This window comes from Homo sapiens, chromosome 18, assembly GCF_000001405.40.
Source record: "Homo sapiens chromosome 18, GRCh38.p14 Primary Assembly".
In the NCBI taxonomy this organism is placed as follows: Eukaryota; Metazoa; Chordata; class Mammalia; order Primates; family Hominidae; genus Homo; species Homo sapiens.
Window position 1 is genome coordinate 41860904 of NC_000018.10, and position 19252 is coordinate 41880155.

The following is a 19252-nucleotide window of genomic DNA, read 5'->3' on the forward strand; positions in this document are numbered from 1 at the left end:
AGAGGACCTTGGCTAGTGTTGGAATACTTGCACCTCCTGATACAAACTCCATGTTTTTTGTGCTACATGCATCGTGTTTCAGTGCAAAAGATACTGTATTTTTTTTTAATATGTGAGTCATGCTAACTCTCCTTCCTATTTTAATTGAAATTGCCTTCCTCAGACACCACCTTGTCTCTTCTGAAATGTTCTTTGTCCTTTAGCTTCAAGTCTGTTTCCTCTCTGTTAAACTGATTGTGTTTGTGGTGCCCTTCCAAGATGACCTCTGCCTGGCACAGAAAGACATCCAACAGGCTATTGGTCACACCTCATCTCTTCCCTTTTATGAAAGGGACACAAGGCTGTCTTTGAGACCCCTTTGGAAGTGTTTTCATGCTAATCCAAGAATTACTGTTGTGTTTGTTTTCTGGCCGGTGCAGTGTGAAGCCATTCATGGGGCCGCATGGACCTTGTCTAGTCATATTCCAGGCCATTCTTGGAACATTTTGGGGAAACGCATCATCGCTCTGCTGGTGGGAGACAAGTCTGTGTCCCTGCCTGAGGCTGGCAGCCAATGCATCTCTGTCCTTGATTGCGCATGAAAACATCTCCTGCCATCTCTGCCAGGCAGCCCACTACACACACAGGGAGTGGAAGAGAGCTGAATTAAATGTTCATCCAAAAAAGACCAAAATCAGGAAGAAAACAACAACCTCCTAAATAGTTATCTCTGGAAAATACGGAAAGAAAGTGAGCTGAGCACTTTAGTCAAAAAAACTTAGGCTTTTTCTAAATATCCTCAGTAGCTACAGATAAGAGAAATAGATCCAGAATAGGAATCGGGAGACATGAATATTAATTCTGATCCTGCTGCTAACTAGCTATGAGATTTCGGGCACATGCTTTTATTTTGCCTCATATTAGTCCCTAATATTTCAAACACCATGGGACACTGATAAAAATTAAAGGAAATACTTTTTGTTGATACTACTTGGTAAACAACAAAGAACAAATAGTCATTGCTATTGCAGCCGCTTTCTGGACCTCAGTCTCTTCACCTGTAAAATGAAAATACTGGGATAGGTCGATGTCCCCGAAGCCAGCTCAGTATCAGAAACACCTAATGAGCTTCTGAAAAATCTAAATTAAGGACTTCACTAAAACCTTGAGGGTTAGGACCCACAATTATGTTTTTGTTTTAATTTCCCGAGTTTTTTGTGTATAGCCTGCCCTGAAATGGTTTTTAGGGTCTCCTAAACTATCCACTGAAGTTTACCAGCCCAATGTTTAGTGGTTCTCAAAGAAGACAAAATCCCTGATATAAGCTGAGGCTGCCTGTAATTTTACCATTAAAAATATGGTCCTGAGTTATTAAAAGCTCATTTTCAAAAGTTCTCCATTAAAAGAAAACATCCTTAATAGGAGCAACATCCGAATTCACCACAGTTTATTTGCTAGTTCTCAATAACTGCACTAACTGATTAAAAGCATGCTTAACACAGTGAAACACAAGAAATGCTTATGTATGTTGAGGGTAGCATTTTCTACAACATTCTCTTTATTTTCAAATATGAACATTGGCCCCAGATAATTTACAAGTATAGTGACCATATAATACTTAACCAAAACAGGATACTTTTGAAAGTGAGAAGAAAATTATTGATAGTTACTTTAGATATAAAGCAGGACCCTCCAGGGCACACAGGAATAAGCCTTTACCCTAGTTAAAAGTGACTTGTCTGCATTGCAAAGAAAGTTAATATTGAAAAGAGGGGGCCGGTGCCTGGCCGGGCGCAATGGCTCATGCCTATAATCCCAACACTTTGGTAGGCCTAGGCGGGTGGATCACCTGAGGTCAGGAGTTCAAGACCAGCCTGGCCAACATGGTGAAACCTCATCTCCACTAAAAAATACAAAAATTAGCCAGGCATGGTGGTGGGCACATGTAATCCCAGCTACTTGGGAGGCTGAGGCAGAAGAATCGCTTGAACCTGGAAGGCAGAAGTTACAGTGAACTGAGATCGTGCCACTACACTCCTGCCTGGGTGACAGAGTGAGACTCTGTCTCAAAGAGAAAAAAGAAAAGAGGAGAAGAGAAGAGAAGGGGAGGGGAGAGGAGGTGAGGGAATGGGAAGGGAGGGGAGGGGAGGGGAGGGGAGGGGACCTAAAAATATCAATGAATGGGACTAAAAAAATATCAATGAATGGGACTAGAACTTCAGCCTCCAGGCTTCTTCTTTATCAACAAAAGTCATAGCCTGTGTGATTCAAATTCACTTCACTTTGGGTCCATGTTCCCCCTTATTTCTCAAAATCAACCTAAGAATATTTATCTTTTTTCTGTACTTCTTTCCTATCACCATATTCTAAATGGCCAACCTTGGGGCTTGGACCCCACCACACTGGTAATAATCCATTGATTCAGTACATTAACACATCATGGATTTCTTCCATTTAAATGGGCAAAGAAGGCTGCTATGCAGGTGTAACAGAAGCTCATGTGAATATCAGAGTCTACACGGGGACCCTTAGAAACCCCCTCAACTGAAGAGGAATGTTCCTGAGATTATCTAATGACCCTGACAGTCCCGTAGTTAACTGTGGAGAGATGCTGTGCTTTTCCCCTCTGACTTTAATCAGCGGTCCCATAGCTAAACCCAAGCTGCCAATCTGTCAATAACCATCAGACAGCAGGAAAAATGTCTCATCCCAATATTAGGTTTTCTAATGTTGCTTGCCTGACAAAAGTTATTTTATTTCTGGCTTTATTTTCGAGAGATGATCCCTGGGCTGGTAATGAGCCTTTTCTTAGAACTTTATTCTCAGTCAGCCATATTAAAAGGTACCAAACACCAGACTTGAGATTAAAAAAAAAAAAAAAAAAAAAAACCTGGTTTCCAGTCCCCTTTCATGCTTGAAAGGAAATTTGTAAATTGTCAACTTGACTTAATTTTTCCTTTGGACTCACACCTATTTGCTGTAATAAGAATTTTCCCCCTGGGTTTCACTCATCTGCAGCATGTGGCAGGAAAAAGGGATTAGGATTGTATTTGTCGTCTTTTTGGAGCGGATTTTCTTTGAGCAAGTCTGCTATCAATTCTGTCTGCCAAAATAGCATTTTAATGTGTTACCTGCCAGTCAAGTATGTTCTGTTAAGTTGACTTCTGCCTCTGCTGTGTTTTCTGATGCTGTTTACCATTAATTTTTCCTCCCATTTTTGCTGTGCTTATTATTTTTAATACAAATGTGGATTGTGCTATTTTGATCATGTGTCTAGCTCTGCAAAACATTAGTTTAAATGAAAAAGAGAAGGGTATGGGGAGGGTAGCAAACAGGGCTTTCTCTTGCTGGAAAGACTATTTTAATGAGTTTTATTCTGTAGTTGGGGAGATGCTCTTAACCTCCTTGGCCCAGTAAGATGTGATTTCTTGACACTGAGCGTATTGCAAATGCATTTTTATCAGAGCTGCGTAAGGTGGACACAGAGGGGATTTCTCCAGTATTTAACAAAGCCATCTATTTGCAACACAAAGTAATGCTTTGTTTACCCTTCCTCTTTGTCCTGGCTATGGTATTATTCCAGAGGCATTGCTTCTCCCTTGCAAACTGTCAATGGCCAAGGATACTTTTCAGCGTGTTTTGGATCATAATTGGCAAAAATGTCTGCTCAGTAGTGGAGAAGAGGTAAAGGTCAGACATGACCCTATGGGGGCCATTCTCCAGTTTGTATGACACAGACACTAAAGTGCCTTGCCCATTCTCCAAAGTTCACAAACCCTTCTCCGTATTCCAGGGACACACAGCCTTTCCTCCCTGCCAGATAATTAGCAGCAGTGGCAAGCCTAGCTGACTTGTCATTGGGCACTCAATGGTGCTCCTTTCCTCCAAGCTCATTTCCTTGGAAGGTGAGAGCCATTATCGTAAAGAGGGATATTGTAAAATTCTGTTCCTTCTGCTAAACCATGGCTCTGAACAGAGAAATTTGTGTTTTCTGCCAGGGAGAAGAATAACATTTATTTAATGGATGCTGAGCAAAAGGTATTCACAATTCATGCTTCAGGGCTTAAGCCTATCCGAGATCAGAAGGGAACTTTTCCAGTCTCCAAATTGTACAACTGGGTAAGTGCTTAGTGCTAACAACCACTCTGTCCCCATCAGGCATGGTCTGAGGTCAACACCTCAAGAGTGCCCCCCGCATCCCCTCAGCTCTTGAATTTGTCCACAAACCGTGTTTTATACCCCTTTTCCCACCAGCTTCTCCTACCAACTTAAACCTAGCAGTACTTCTTATAGATGTGGCTCCGCTGAATTCCAGTTATGCATCACCAGTATCCCAGTCCCTTCAAGGGAATTCTCTACAGTTTCAGAGTTGTAATACTTAAGTGTTTCCTCTCTCAGCAATGGGAACAGCAGAATGGAAGAAGCTTGGAATAGTAGAAAGAACACAGCTTTCAAACTAGAAAGATTGATCCGAGTTCAACTCATTCTTGAACCCTAAATAGATGGTTAATCATGAATTGCCTATTCATTGATATTCAATTTCCTCATCTGTAAAGGATAATAATAATAAAGCTTACCTTGCAGCACTGTTGTGAAGGCCAAGTGAAGTCACATGTCAAGTGTGTGGTCCATAAAGAAGAGAAACTGGATCACGCCTTCCTTTTCTTGGGCAGAAATTGTGTCTGGTTGTAATGAGAGGTGACAGCGTGCCGGCAGTCCTCACAGCCCTCGCTTGCTCTGGGTGCCTCCTCTGCCTGGGCTCCCACTTTGGTGGCACTTGAGGAGCCCTTCAGCCCACCGCTGCACTATGGGAGCCCCTTTCTGGGCTGGCCAAGGCCACAGCCGGCTCCCTCAGCTTGCAGGGAGGCGTGGAGGGAGAGGCGCGAGCGGGAACCGGTGCTGCGTGCAGCGCTTGCAGGCCAGCTGGAGTTCCAGGTGGGCATGGGCTTGGCGGGCCCCACACTCGGAGCAGCCGGCCGGCCCTGCCGGCCCCGGGCAGTGAGGAACTTGGCACCCGGGCCAGCGGCTGCAGAGGATGTACTGGGTTCTCCAGCAGTGCCGGCTCACCGGCGCTGTGCTCGATTTCTCGCCGGGCCTTAGCTGCCTTCCCGCAGGGCAGGGCTCGGGACCTGCAGCCCGCCATGCCTGAGCCTTCCACCCACTCCATGGGCTCCTGTGCGGCCGGAGCCTCCCCGACTAGCACCACCCCCTGCTCCATGGCGCCCAGTCCCATCGACCACCCAAGGGCTGAGGAGTATGAGTGCACGGCGCGGGACTGGCAGGCAGCTCCACCTGCAGCCCCGGTGCGGGATCCACTAAGTGAAGCCAGCTGGGCTCCTGAGTCTGGCGGGGACGTGGAGAGTCTTTATGTCTAGCTCAGGGATTGTAAATACACCAATCAGCACCCTGTGTTTAGCTCAAGGTTTGTGAGTGCACCAATCAACACTCTGTATCTAGCTGCTCTGGTGGGGCCTTGGAGAACCTTTATGTCTAGCTCAGGGATTGTAAATACACCAATTGGCACTCTGTATCTAGCTCAAGGTTTGTAAACACACCAATCAGCACCCTGTGTTTAGCTCAAGGTTTGTGAGTGCACCATTCGACACTCTGTATCTAGCTGCTCTGGTGGGGCCTTGGAGAACCTTTGTGTCCATACTCTGTATCTAACTAATCTGATGGGGACGTGGAGAACCTTTGTGTCTAGCTCAGGGATTGTAAATGCACCAATCAGCACCCTCTCAAAACAGGCCACTCGGCTCTACCAATCAGCAGGATGTGGGTGGGGCCAGATAAGAGAATAAAAGCAGGCTGCCGGAGCCAGCATTGGCAACCCGCTCGGGTACCCTTCCACACTGTGGAAGCTTTGTTCTTTCACTCTTTGCAATACATCTTGCTACTGCTCACTCTTTGGGTCCACACTGCTTTTATGAGCTATAACACTCACCGAGAAGATCTGCAGCTTCTCTCCTGAAGCCAGCGAGACCATGAGCCCACCAGGAGGAACGAACAACTCCAGACGTGCTGCCTTAAGAGCTGTAACACTCACAGCGAAGGTCTGCAGCCTCACTCCTGAGCCAGCGAGACCACAAACCTACCAGAAGGAAGAAACTCCGAACACATCTGAACATCAAAAGGGACAGACTCCAGACGCGCCACCTTAAGGGCTGTAACACTCACCGCGAGGGTCCGCGGCTTCATTCTTGAAGTCAGTGAGACCAAGAACCCACCAATTCCGGACACAGTAACACTATCTAAGTACCTTCTGGCAAGTCATTCAAATTTTCTGTGAGTTCATCTACAAAATGAGCGAAAGAAAAACCTCCATCCTGCCTTCTTTTAAAACAGAAATTTTACAATCCAAAAAACGTGAAAGTATTGCCAAAAAATATGGTGTTATTATTTATGCTGATGCTTACTCTTATTATCTTTAAATTCTAGACATATTATATTAAAATATTATCCACAATTAAGTAGGCCTATCTAAAAATATGTCTGTACCTTTCAATCACAGGTAGATATTAGTCATAATGCTCTGATGGTGGAAAAGCTGACACAGTGTTGTGTCTTAAAAATAAATCTGCTCTGGCCGGGCGTGGTGGCTCAGGCCTGTAATCCCAGCACTTTGGGAGGCCGAGGCGGGCAGATCACGAGGTCAGGAGATCCAGACCATCCTGGCTAACACAGTGAAACCCCGTCTCTACTAAAAATACAAAAAATTAGCCAGCGTGGTGGCAGGCACCCGTAGTCCCAGCTATTCGGGAGACTGAGGCAGGAGAATGGCGTGAACCTGGGAGGCGGGGCTTGCAGTGAGCTGAGATTGCGCCACTGCACTCCAGCCTGGGCGGCAGAGCAAGACTCTTGTCTAAAAAATAATAATAATAAAATAAAAAATAAAAAATAAAAAATAAAAAAAATAGATCTGTTCCCAGAGCTGGGACAAAAAGATTCCTAGTGGCTTGGTCTATACATAAGATGAATAAGAGATTGGAAATATTATTGTATTATAATTAGGCCAAAGCCCTGTGTGTAAACACGTGAAGCATGTAACAGATGCTCACTAAATGTTGCAAATCTCTGCACATTTTCTTGATTTGAGATTTCAAGTATCTATGGTGTGCCTGTTAGCCTTGACCTTTCCTGTCACCCTCAGCTGATGGCCTCTTGACCCTTTTCCACTCTCCCCTCCCGTATACTCCACCCCTCCCCAGTTCCAGCTTATCTGGACTCTAGAAAGGTAATAACCAAGCATTTCCAGTTGCACACTCAACCCTTCTGCTAGACTTCCTTGGGCATAAGTTTCCAGTCTCCTAGTTAAGGTTCTGCTCCATATCTTTGATTCTACTAAGGGGATTTTGCCTATGAACAAGGCACTGCCTTTGTTCAGGAGTCAGTGTTTATCTGCTGCTTCCATTTCCTGCATCTCTCACTAGACACTTTTACTGCTACAATGGACTATTTAAAGAGACAAAGTGCTTGGCATGGAAATGGAAGGAAGGCTTCTAGGCCTCTACTCTCCTGTGTCAAAGTCAGTTAGTGGGGTTTCAAATCCAGGTTTCTTGTGCTTTCTGTGTTAGAAAGGTTTAAGAGGAACCACCTTTTCTGTCTTTTATTTGTGGCCCTCGGCAGCTTTGCCACTGGGTCAAAGTCTTTGTGCCTAGTTCCTTTTTCTCCTCACATAAATTTCCTTCCAAGAGCCCATTTAGCTTTCATGCAAATGTCTTCTGACATGTCCTCAAATCCAGCTGTTGGGTAGGCATGGGCATGTAGGAATCTCATCTTAAACTGGGATCTTGCCACCATCAGAATTAAAGAGAAGTAACTGGACTAGTGGTGACACTAAAGTTTAAGGTTAAATAGGGATTTTCCTCACCAGTAAGATTATCCAAATTATCACTCTCTGTCGGTCTTATTACCTGATCTGGTCAACTTTGTGTTTGGAAGCAGTCTCTGACAAAGAGGAAATTGTACCCAAACAACTTTTTTTAATACTTCACACTTGATCTGCCAGACATGGGAGTAGTTTGAAACTGGTTATATTTCCAGTTTGGACCCAATAAAAAGCTGGTTCACTGATAATTTCTAAGGCAAGGGAAGATGGTGTATTAGAAGAGACTGGGATACGGAAGGAGGGAGAGGTTGAAGTTGAAGAGCTGCAATAAAATACTGCAGAATGTTTGTGTCACTGGAAGCCTCATCCTGAGTTCCTTCTCCCTGAATCCCCTGGAAGAACTGACAACTGCCTGGCCTTTACAAAATGAAATTGACATTTACAGGCTTAGGTTCAACAGAAACTGAAAGGGAGGTCTGGGAGGTGCTATAAGCAGGGCCTGGGCCCAGTTCCCTGGATCCAGGGCAGCAGGCCCATAACTCTGCTGTGAGTGATGGGTCAATATCCAATAACTCGAAATCAAAAGCTGAAGTCTTCTTGAGTCAGCAGAGCTGAAGCCTCCTTCAGGGGATAAGAATACAGCACCAGCCCTTCTGACAGAGCTGGAGTTGCCAGTAGCCTTTAATCTAAGGAAACCACAGGCAAAGCAAACTTGGCATATAACTTTTCCTACATTAATTAGCACCCTTCAGTTTAAAGGGGGAAAAATAATAACACTCTTGGGAGAGCTGTTAGAGCTCAAACCCAACTCATTCGGATTCTGCACACAAAGACTCTGGGGAGGGGGACGATGGGGTGGAGAACAGAACACAGTCTTGGAGAGGGAAAAGAGATTATTTTCAGGTCAACTGAACAGTAGCTTTCAGAAGCAGGCCATTGTTTGAATTGTGTTTCATGATATTGATTATGAACCGTCCTCCGCCATTCTTTGCCTTTTTGGTCAGGCTCTGCCTGTCCTACTGGAAATGGGAGGCAGTGTGTCCTGGAGCTGTGCTGTGTTTTTTTCTTAAATGTGACGAGCCCGTTGGGAGGACAAAGTCTTATATGGTCTGAAAATATATTTTTAATAGGTCATTGTCTAGTTAAGGGGAATTAGCTAAATATGTGTATCTCTGCAGACTAGAAATCAAAAGCAAATCAGAGTGAACAAAATGATAGAACAATATGAATTGTGTACTAGTTATATGAATGTTAAAGACTTATAAAACAAATGATTTTCAAAACTAGCTGAGAATACACACACATCAAACTCACAAATGTGATTCCCTCTGTCAAGGAAGACAAAGGACTAGAATTGAAACTGGAATCAAAGATGAAAGTAAGCTTTTTCTTATTATTCTAATTTTCGTTTTTAAAAAGAAGAATCAAAATTCACAAATCACTTATATAATGATTTTTTTAAAAAAAGATAGAAATCAATGTATCCTTCTGTTTTGCTTTTTTTCTTTCCAAAATTACAAAGAGGAGTTGGCATGAGGTACTTATTGTTTCAATCCACTTCACATCTGTATATGACATTCAAGAACTGTTCTTCGATAAAACATACAGGCTCTTGATTCTGAGATTGTATCTAAATGCATCCTGTTTCAATGTGGAGACAGGTTTGAACCTGCCTTCCCTAATTCTGCTAATGAGGCAGCAGGAATCTGGCTCTATTTAGGGAGCAGTGGCTTCTTCTTCAAGTCCACCCTCAGCCAAGAAGCCCATTGGCCTGTGTCCATCCACCAGGGCTCAACTTCCTTTTATTTTTGTGTTTTACGTTTACCTTTATTCACAAGCAGCATATTTCAAAACAATAATTTTAAAATATTTTTGAATGCTGCAGACATTCAAAAATGAAAACAACAATTTAAAATTATATATTATTCTCCAGTTACAAAGTATGTTTACATCCATTATTTTATTTTATTTCATTATCATCATACACTCTAAAATGTACTAAGGTCAGCATTATTTTACCCATTTTGCAAACAAAAAAAAAAAAATGAGGCCCCAAAACCATCAGTAACTTCTTCTAAATCATATCCATAGTAGTAAGGACTAGAGTTCAAACCTTCCCATTCTAAACTGTCAATCCATCTATCCATTCATTCATTTAACAAACATTTATTAAGCTCCCTCTCCATAGGCTCTTTTCTATAATTCTTTTCAGTGTATCTGGTAATTGTGTTTCCATAAGTCTTTATTCTGTCAATATGAGCTACAGTTATAGGCTATGTGATTCATTGCTGTTTCATTTCCTGTGCCTCATCCTTCAACCCACCTGCTCAATTATAAAGTCCTTGAGTAATTCTATAGTTTAAGACATAAACTTTTTTTCACATCCCACAAGGCTTAACATAGTTCTGGATAAATGCAGAAAACCACTGTTTCTTGCTTAACCAATTTATGGATTATTCTACAGATATAAAAGCCTAGATGTTAAAAGAATAACCCAAAGAGCTCCAATTATGATAAGGAGATAGAACCAAACACCCTAATATCCCATCTGCTCCAGAGATATGGAGCAGCTACTAGAACCCAAAAGCTGATGGAAGCTTCAGAAAACATCCTCGGTCTCTATATTACCCTAGGAACTATTCTAAGTTTCTCAGTTTCAGTCCTATGTAGAGCTTGTTATATAACATTGAAAACACAATCAGACAAGACCTTTGGATTAGGGAAAAAAGTTAAAGAACACATCGTTGTCATTTATTAACTGGTGTTTAGTGAGCCCTTATTACATGCACAATGTATTAGACGATCCCGTGAATAAACAAAGTGCATGGACACTTTTCTTCTTCTCAATGTAAATTGCACTTTACAGTTTATATGTTATCTCATTTCAAACTTTATAGTCCAGCATGGCAGTGATATGCTTGAGTTCTGAATCAGACATTCTAAATTTAAATCCTGGCTCTACCACATTCCAGCTGTGTGACCTCCGGCGATTTGCTTAATCTCACCAAGGCTCAATTTCTTAATTTGAACAACAATGATAATAGGGTTCTAGGGAAGATTAAATGTGATAATTCATGTAAAGCACTTAACACAGTATCTGGCACAGAGAAAACCCTCAATAAATGTTAGCTATTTCTATTATCATCTTTACAACTACCCTTCGAGGTAAATAGGCCCACATTATTTGTATATGAAAGAGAAAATCTGGGCTGAGAGAAATTATGTTAGTTGCAAAGGGTAACAGTGCTAGTAAAGGCCATCAACTCCAGGCATTCTTACTTGCCTGGTGCCAGCCCCATATCACACAGTCCCCTAACAGCATAAGTGAGGAAAAAACACACAAATGTTGGGAAATGTACAAATATTGAAGATGATTGAAGGAAATATGACTGTCCCTTGCTAGCTGAGCACTCCTCTGCTGTAATTAACATCTGATCTGCTACTTTACCAACAGATGAACACCCACTTGGCATTAGGAAGCTGTCTATTTAAGCTTATTTTTTTCATCTATGCCAGTTATCTGTATTTTAATTTCACACAAAGTTTGATTGTTGGTTTTTTGACATCACCCTGTGCCTTCAGATTGAAGTAAATAATACAAACACATATTCAAAGAATAAATGTTGATTCATTGATGTGCCCAGAAGAATTGTGAAGGAGGCACAACTTATCTCCAGACCCACCACATCCTCCAGACTTAGTCATCAAACTTTACTGAGCATCAGAATCACAAATTCTTGGGCCCATCTCATAGGTTCTGATTCAGTAGGTTTAAGGTGGATCCTGAGAATTTGCATTTCTAACAGGTTTCCAGATGACCCTGCTGGTCTGGAGACCATGCTTTGAGTACTATCATAGGTCAGTGTCTCCCAAAACAGTCCCCAGAGAATCTATATTCAATCATTTTGGGTGATTATCAAAATTCAGCTTTTGATGTCCCACTCCAGACTTGTTGAAAGTGATTCTTTGGATGGGTCCTAGGAATCTGTATTGTCACAACTATCCCAGGTGAATTTTAAGCCCATAAAAGTTTGAGAATCGTAGGCCAGGCACGGTGGCTCACATCTGTAATCCCAGCACTTTGAGAAGCCTAGGCGGGTGGATCACTTGAGGTCAAGAGTTCGAGACCAGCCTGACCAACATGGTGAAACCACATCTCTACCAAAAATATAAAAAATTAGCTGGGTGTGGTGGCAAACCCCTGTAATCCCAGCTACTCGGGAGCCTGAGGCAGAAGAATTGCTTGAACCCAGGAGGCAGAGGTTGCAGCGAGTGTAGATCATGCCACTTGCGCTCCGGCCTGAGCAACAGAGCAAGACTCTGTCTCAAAAAAAAAAAAAAAAGTTTGAGAACCCCTAATTTAAATTCTGAGTGTATCCATGATTTAAATCTTATTGTTGTATGCCCAGAACCTAATAGAGTGTTTGGACTGTAGTAGCTACTCAATAAATACTTGTATTTAAATATATCCCTTTTTGCATGTCCTGTTCCCTCCCCACTTAAAGGCCTCCCTCCTCCCACCTAGCCCCTCTTTTAAGGTGCTACAGGCAGCTCCTTCTCTCAGGAAAAGCTTAGAAACCCACTAAATCAACACACACAATACGTTGTCTTAAAACAGCTTTCTAATCGTCGTTTTAATTATTTCTCACATTGTTATTAAACCTTGTACAAAACTGTTTAATTAATGAGATTATAATCTCCCTGAGCAGAGTGACCAGGCCCCTTGCCTCTTCCATTCACAGAACCCCAACCTCTGTCAATACATCATCATTTCACCCCAAAATAAAATACTCATTTGGTTTTATATTTTGCTTTATTGAATTGGAAACCTATATTTTTATTTATTCAATAGTTTAATTCAATACCTATTAGGTGCCAGACACTTAGAAAGATATCAGTCTATCAATTAACATAAAAGGAAATAATCAGTGAATGAATGAGGGGATATTTAGCAAACGCTAATCCTCTTTCATTTTCTCAGTCTCCCCTATCACAAAACACACACACTTCTAGGGGGATGGAAATATTCACTGAGAGCTGAAAGGGGGCAAAGCTCTGATAACAAGTGATTTCACAGGAAAGACCAACAAGCTTATCTCAATGAATATCTATGCAATTCTCATACCTACCTCACCCCAAAGAAAGAAGAAAGCCACTCTTTTTGCCCCTCCAATCTGATGACAGACACTTTCATATCCCCTGTATTCAATCAATGTTTTATCATATCAAACTACATTGTTTTTTCACTGTGTGGCAGGGAAATGCTGTAATCAGTTTTATAGAAGGCTCTCCCAGAATCAAGTAGCTGTAGGCAAGACTGGCTGGCAGCATGACTTAGACATTTACAGATGTGGATCTAGCTGTGAGGAAGAAAAAAGCAATTTAAAGAGACATTGTCAAATTTGAGAGGCATAGATATTTCATCTTTAGTTTAGTAATTAGTAGCTTGAAAAGTACCCAATTAGAAATATTTTCATAAACAACTTAAGCAAATAGTTGGAGATTTTTTTTTTGGAGACAGAGTCTCGCTGTGTCGCCCAGGCTGGAGTGCAGTGGTGCAACCTCGGCTCACTGCAACCTCCACCTCCCAGGTTCAAGCAATTCTCCTACCTCAGCCTCCCGAGTAGCTTGGACTACAGGTGCCCGCCACTATGCCTGGCTAATTTTTTCTATTTTAGTAGAGATGGGGTTTCACCATGTTGCCCAGGCTGTTCTCAAACTCCTGAGCTCAGGCAATCCGCCCACCTCGGCCTCCCAAAGTGCTAGGATTTCTCTAAAATTATTCCCCAAATGATAAAGCCAAGGAAAGCTAAAGTGCAATTAATAACTGCCTTCAAATAAAGATGTTTATTGCTGGAAGAGTCCTTAGAGATCAAGCAATCCACACTCCCCACACCCGCCACCCCCACCACTCCACCTTATGATGAAGCTGAGGTTCCAAGAGACAAGATTTACCAAAACTCAGGAACCTCCCTGACTACCACTTTATATGTTTCTCTGATTAGCTAAAATTTCAATGTCAGGGACCCTTAGAAACCTTAGACAGATCATATACTTTACAGCTGAGACAACTGGAACAACCAATAATCCTGGATCACACAGCCAGATCCCTTCTCTTATAGCTTTGTCTTTTCCTACGCCCTCTTCTTGCCTCCCAGAAGAGACGTTCCACAGGTGTCAACTAACTTAGGAAAAAAGCAGTCTATGTACACAAAGGATTTAGTTTGGATATAAAAACCCCTTTTTCCATGATAAATATAGCTACAAGGAGTCTCTCCTTCTACACCCCTTCCTATTTTTCCTTAAAAGACTGAAATGGATGCAATGCCACATTTGTACTTTGGCAGATGCCTGTGATGTACAATTTATGAGAACTAAAAAAGCACCCGTGTGCCTTGAACTCTCCCTATCATTTGCCCATCATGGTGTTTAAAGTTCTCAGCATTAGAAAATTATTCCCCAAACACTAAAACTTAAAGCATTGTATCTTCAGAATATTCCAGTAAAATGGCTACTTCTAGGAAGGCTAACACATGACTCAAACAGCAGTCATTAATACATTAACATAGCGAGACACTGAGGGATTGAATGGGACACAGAGCCCATGCATGGAAGAGTAGATTCTGAAGCCATGGGTGCTGACTAGGGAGGGGAAGCATAAAGGTTGCTTAAAGGTGGATTCTAATTGAGCCAGATTACAATTTGAGAAGAGCAAGTAGCTGAATTTCTGAGGAAAATAAATAGATAAATGAAAGAAAGAAAGAATGACCTATTTCATAATTTGAGCTATGATTAACTTTGAATGATTCCTAAGAAAAGCATAGGCTAACATAAGCCTAATGACTCATCCAGCAAGAATTTATTGTACACTGATATGGTTTGGCTCTGTGTCTTCACCCAAATCTCCTCTTGTAGCTCCCATAATTCCCAAATACTGTGGGAGGAACCTGGTGGGAGATGATTGAATCATGCAGGTGGTCTTTCCTGCACTGTTCCCATGATAGTGAGTGGGTCTCATGAGATCTGATGGTTTTAAAAACGGTAGTTTCTCTGCACAAGCTCTCCCTTTGCCTGCTGCCATCCACATGAGTTGTGACCTGCTCCTCCTTGCCTTCTGCCATGATTGTGAGGTCTCCCCAGCCATGTGGAACTGTAGGTCCAATAAACCTTTTTCCTGTGTAAATTACCCAGTCTTGGGTATGTCTTTATCAGCAGCATGAAAACAAACTAATACACACACCTACTCTGTGTTACATTCTGTAAGGGATACAGAAGATAATTTAGTGTGTTTCTTTTCTTAAGAAGATGGCAAAGGAGTAAAGAGATAAAATTAACAGAAACATAGCAACAGAAGAAATACAATGGCTATGGTTTAGAAGTATGGCCAATCAGCATTCACTGAACCCTAATATGATCAATGGTGTGCATTAGGTATGAAGGAAGCCATGATGCCCTCACAGCCTGAAAGGGAAAATGGCCTATGTACAGAAATAACCCTACTAGGACAGAAAATCAGGTCCAGCCTGGAAGTATAAGCAAAACCTAAGCCATGAGGGTATGTGTTTGGGATGAGGAGAGAGTGGGTTATTACATCTACTGTAGAAAGTCTTCATTGTGAATGTGTCACTAAACCTGAACCTGAAGTAGACCTCAATAGTTGAAGATCAGGGATGGTGCATTATAGAAGGACACAGAGAAGATATATAATATATGTTTCTGGGACTGTAAGCAGTCCTACAGACTGGAGTAGAGAAGACGAGAACTCAGGAGGTAGTTCTTGTACAAGGTCTGCCCCATGGCCTTGGCAATCTTGACCTTTTTCCACTTTTAGGCATCAAGAAATTCCAGAAAATCTTGAAGTGCTCTTAAACCCTTGGCCTATTTCTCTAAAGTGGTAGAGTGAATTAGATCCAAATTCAAGGCCTGGCTTCATACTTTAACATGAGAATAACTTGGAAAAATCATGTAACTTCCCTTAGCTTGTTTTCTCACCCATAAACTGGGAGAATTTTTACTACTGACTTATTAAGGTTATGAGAGCCAAATAAGATAAAGCTAAAAAAAAATCCTACACAAAGCTTCACAAATATTAATTATCATCATTATTGTGTAAATGTGGCCAGCATACCTGGTGGAAGCCATCCAATGCCAGTGCATGACATAGAATTAAATTTGTCTGTCCTGAAAAGAACTTATATTCTGGGAAAGTAAAGATCTACCTAAAATTGAAAATCAAGACCTAGTATATATGTGATATGCATCTGGCTCCTAGCATAGAAATTCTCGCTATGTATTTATTACCTTTTTTTTGTTTGGTTGGTTTTTGTTTTTTTTGAGACGGTCGCCCCCGCTGGAGTGCAATAGCGCAGTCTCAGCTCACTGCAACCTCTGCCTCCCAGGTTCAAGCACTTCTTCTGCCTCAGCCTCCCGAGTAGCTGAGATTACAGGCATGTGCCACCATGCCCGACTAATTTTTTCTGTATTTTTAGTAGAAATGGTGTTTCACCACATTGGCCAGGCTGGTCTCGAACTCCTGACCTCAGGTGATCCGCCTGCCTTGGCTCCCCAAAGTGCTGGGATTACAGGCATGAGCCACTGTGCCTGGCCTATTATGTCTTAAGTAGTCGATAAGTTAGTGCATAGGTTGGGAGCTCACTTAACCCTTCTAGAAGTCAGAATTCAACAATGTTTAGATACAGAAAATGCTGTGACTGCTTTCAGAAAACACAACTATGGAATATTTTTCTATACATCTGATTGGTTAGAACCCCCTCATATGTCATAATACTAATAAGATTGCATGTTTTTTGATAGAAACAACATATCTTCTAATTACAGCATAAATACAATGTACAATGCATTATATTTTCCTTTATGCATGCTTCAGGGACATTACCTGTGGCTCTGAAATGTTTTAGAAGACCTTAAGGCTAGTCAACAACCACTCTGGATAAGTAAAAAAAAAAAAAAAAAAAAAGATTGGTAATAACTGAGGCAATTTCAAGATTATCATAAGGATATCCCACAAAATCAAGCTAACAATATATTTAGTTTTGATGTAAATTTCTCCTGTTGCCTTAATTAACCCCATCTCAATTCTTTCTAATGAATACTATTCTCTGTCTGCTTCCCATACATCTTTAGAACCAAGGAGAGACCAGTGCCACAGTCAAGGCAGTTTTTCTAGTCAATTACACAGGATCCTCCTCTAAGAAAGAGCTTATACTTAGTTTAATGTTCTTCTTACTATTAATGTTATCTTTGAACTTGTGTTTTATAAGTAAGTCTGAGGGCATAACAGAATATGTGTGTGAGCAAACAAATTTTAAATAAAGAAAGAAAAAGTCTTTATAGTTTAGTACCTTTCAGCAGTACATTTTGGCCTGCACCTGCCAATGACTATATTTGCAGAACAGCTCTTAAACAGAATACATGGACAATATGGCTGATATTGCAGGGGCCATTTTTTTCAACCCCCATTGGATCTTCTTCTTAAGGCCCTAGTATGCCTCCAGCCCATTCTATTGGAGTAGTGACAATTTCTCACACTGTAACCCAAGTTGCATCTTCTTTTAACCACAAAGCTATGCTACAATCTAAAAAATATATTAGAACTGGGCACAGTGGCTCACACCTGTAATCCTAGCACTTTGGGAGACTGAGGTGTACATATTGTTTGAGGTCAGGAGTTGGAGACCAGCTTTAGCAACATGGCGAAACCCTGTCTCTACAAAAAACACAAAAATTAGCTGGGCATGGTGGCACATGCCTATAGTCCCAGCTGCTTGGGAGGCTGAGGTGGAAGGATTACTTGAGCCTTGGAGGTCGAGGCTGCAGTGAGCGAAGATCATGCCACTGCACTCCACCCTGGGCAACAGAGCAAGACCCTATCTCAAAAATAAATAAATAATATATTAGAATGCTGATATATGTTAATTTTTATTAGTCTTTTGAGTTGTAGGAATGGTGTTAACTTTCTATTTCAGCCTAGGATGAAGAAATATCCCCTATCAAAATCAATCCAGCCCTGTTTTCTTGAAAATAAAAGCCAAAGAAATATTAAGTAACTTGTTCAGAAATTCAAAGTAAAAATAAGAGTTAAGATTAAAATTCCAAAATGTCAAATTGGCTTCTGTTTTGGCTTTTGCATATCTAACTCTGCATCAGGACTGTATTTGGATTTCTCTTTCATTTTCAATACTTTAGTACATTCTGATTTGTTTTACATGGGTGCAGGGACACACATACACATACACACACCTAAATGTCAAGAAACACGTGTTAAATTCATAGTCTATAGATATTGATGTTCTATTTAGAAGGAAGTCAGACAATATATAAAAGCTTCAGGGAAAAGTTTCCTTGCATAACAAAAGAGCTGATGCATCAAGTTATGGTTTGTTAATGGCATTCAATTAACACATAACTGTTGTTAGTTGATTAAAAATTAACTGTGAATAACTGTTTAACATTTAGCACTTACAAATGTTACTTGATTTGTTAAAATTGTAGAGCAAAGGAGTCTGGGGGGAAGCTAGAAATATTTGGTTAGGTTTTTAATGGAAATTTTAGACACATTGTAAAATAGTTCTTCCTCGTAAATATACATTTGTAAATCAATCTTCATGTTTTAACCACTTGTGAAGAATTTTGCAGACTTCCTGTTTTAAAAGCACTTGAGAAATAAATATCTGCCAGGGAGAGAAATCCCATCAGTTTTCTTGCTGTTCCTATACAGATGGCAGACCATACTGTGAAATTTGCTGTTCTTCGATTGCTCCATTCTGCACACGCCCCAAGGAATCTCAGAATTGTAGAAACTAGAGATGTAATAGACTAAATAGGTCATCTATTTCAATAGAAATTTTACCAGATTTATACAAGACTCTTGAATTTACAATACAACTCACTTCCAAGGGGGTCCAAATGCTGAAGAGAAAATTGGCTTTTTTTCCCCAGCCATCCTAGAGTCATATATTATGTTCTGCTATTAATCATGTTCTTCTCTTGGTGAAGATAATACATCATAAGAATGTGCACACAGAATTTCTTTTCCAACAAAAGGATACGATTTGTAGTGATCCATTTCCAGGCTCTCATTAGCACCCCCACCTTCGACCCCAGACCAATGGCTGTATTTGTAAGACAGCTGTCTGAGGTCTGAGGAGTAACCCATGGCCCTGGAAGAATGTGCAAGTAGGTGGCCCTTGTGAGGGTAATATTCAACAGTTTGGTCTCTTTAAACCTATCCTGACTGGGTGCAGTGGCTCACACATGCAATCCCAACACCCTGAGAAGCTAAGGAGAGAGGATTGCTTGAGGTCAGGAGATTGAGACTAGCCTGGGCAACATAATGAGACCCTGTCTCTATAAATTTCTTTTTTCAAAAAAAATTTTTGTGTGTGTGTGATTTGGTGTGGTGTGGTGTAAACCTGCAATCCTAGC

The 19252-nt window shown here is 41.3% G+C and overlaps 1 long non-coding RNA gene across 1 annotated transcript in view, besides 1 other annotated feature; it reads right to left on the reverse strand.

The window, feature by feature from the left end:
* Positions 4859 to 5415: an enhancer, noted in NCBI's record as "H3K27ac-H3K4me1 hESC enhancer chr18:39445727-39446283 (GRCh37/hg19 assembly coordinates)". NCBI's record gives its function as "activates a minimal SCP1, AML or CMV promoter by ChIP-STARR-seq in naive H9 embryonic stem cells {active_cell/tissue: H9 hESC(naive)}" and the evidence as "EXISTENCE:reporter gene assay evidence [ECO:0000049][PMID:30033119]".
* Positions 12607 to 19252, reverse strand: part of LOC105372085 (uncharacterized) — a 34754-nt gene continuing 28108 nt past the window's right edge. Inside the window, exon 5 of the long non-coding RNA XR_935411.2 lies at positions 12607 to 13167. This is a non-coding gene — a long non-coding RNA (uncharacterized LOC105372085). The remainder of the gene's footprint in view (positions 13168 to 19252) is intronic.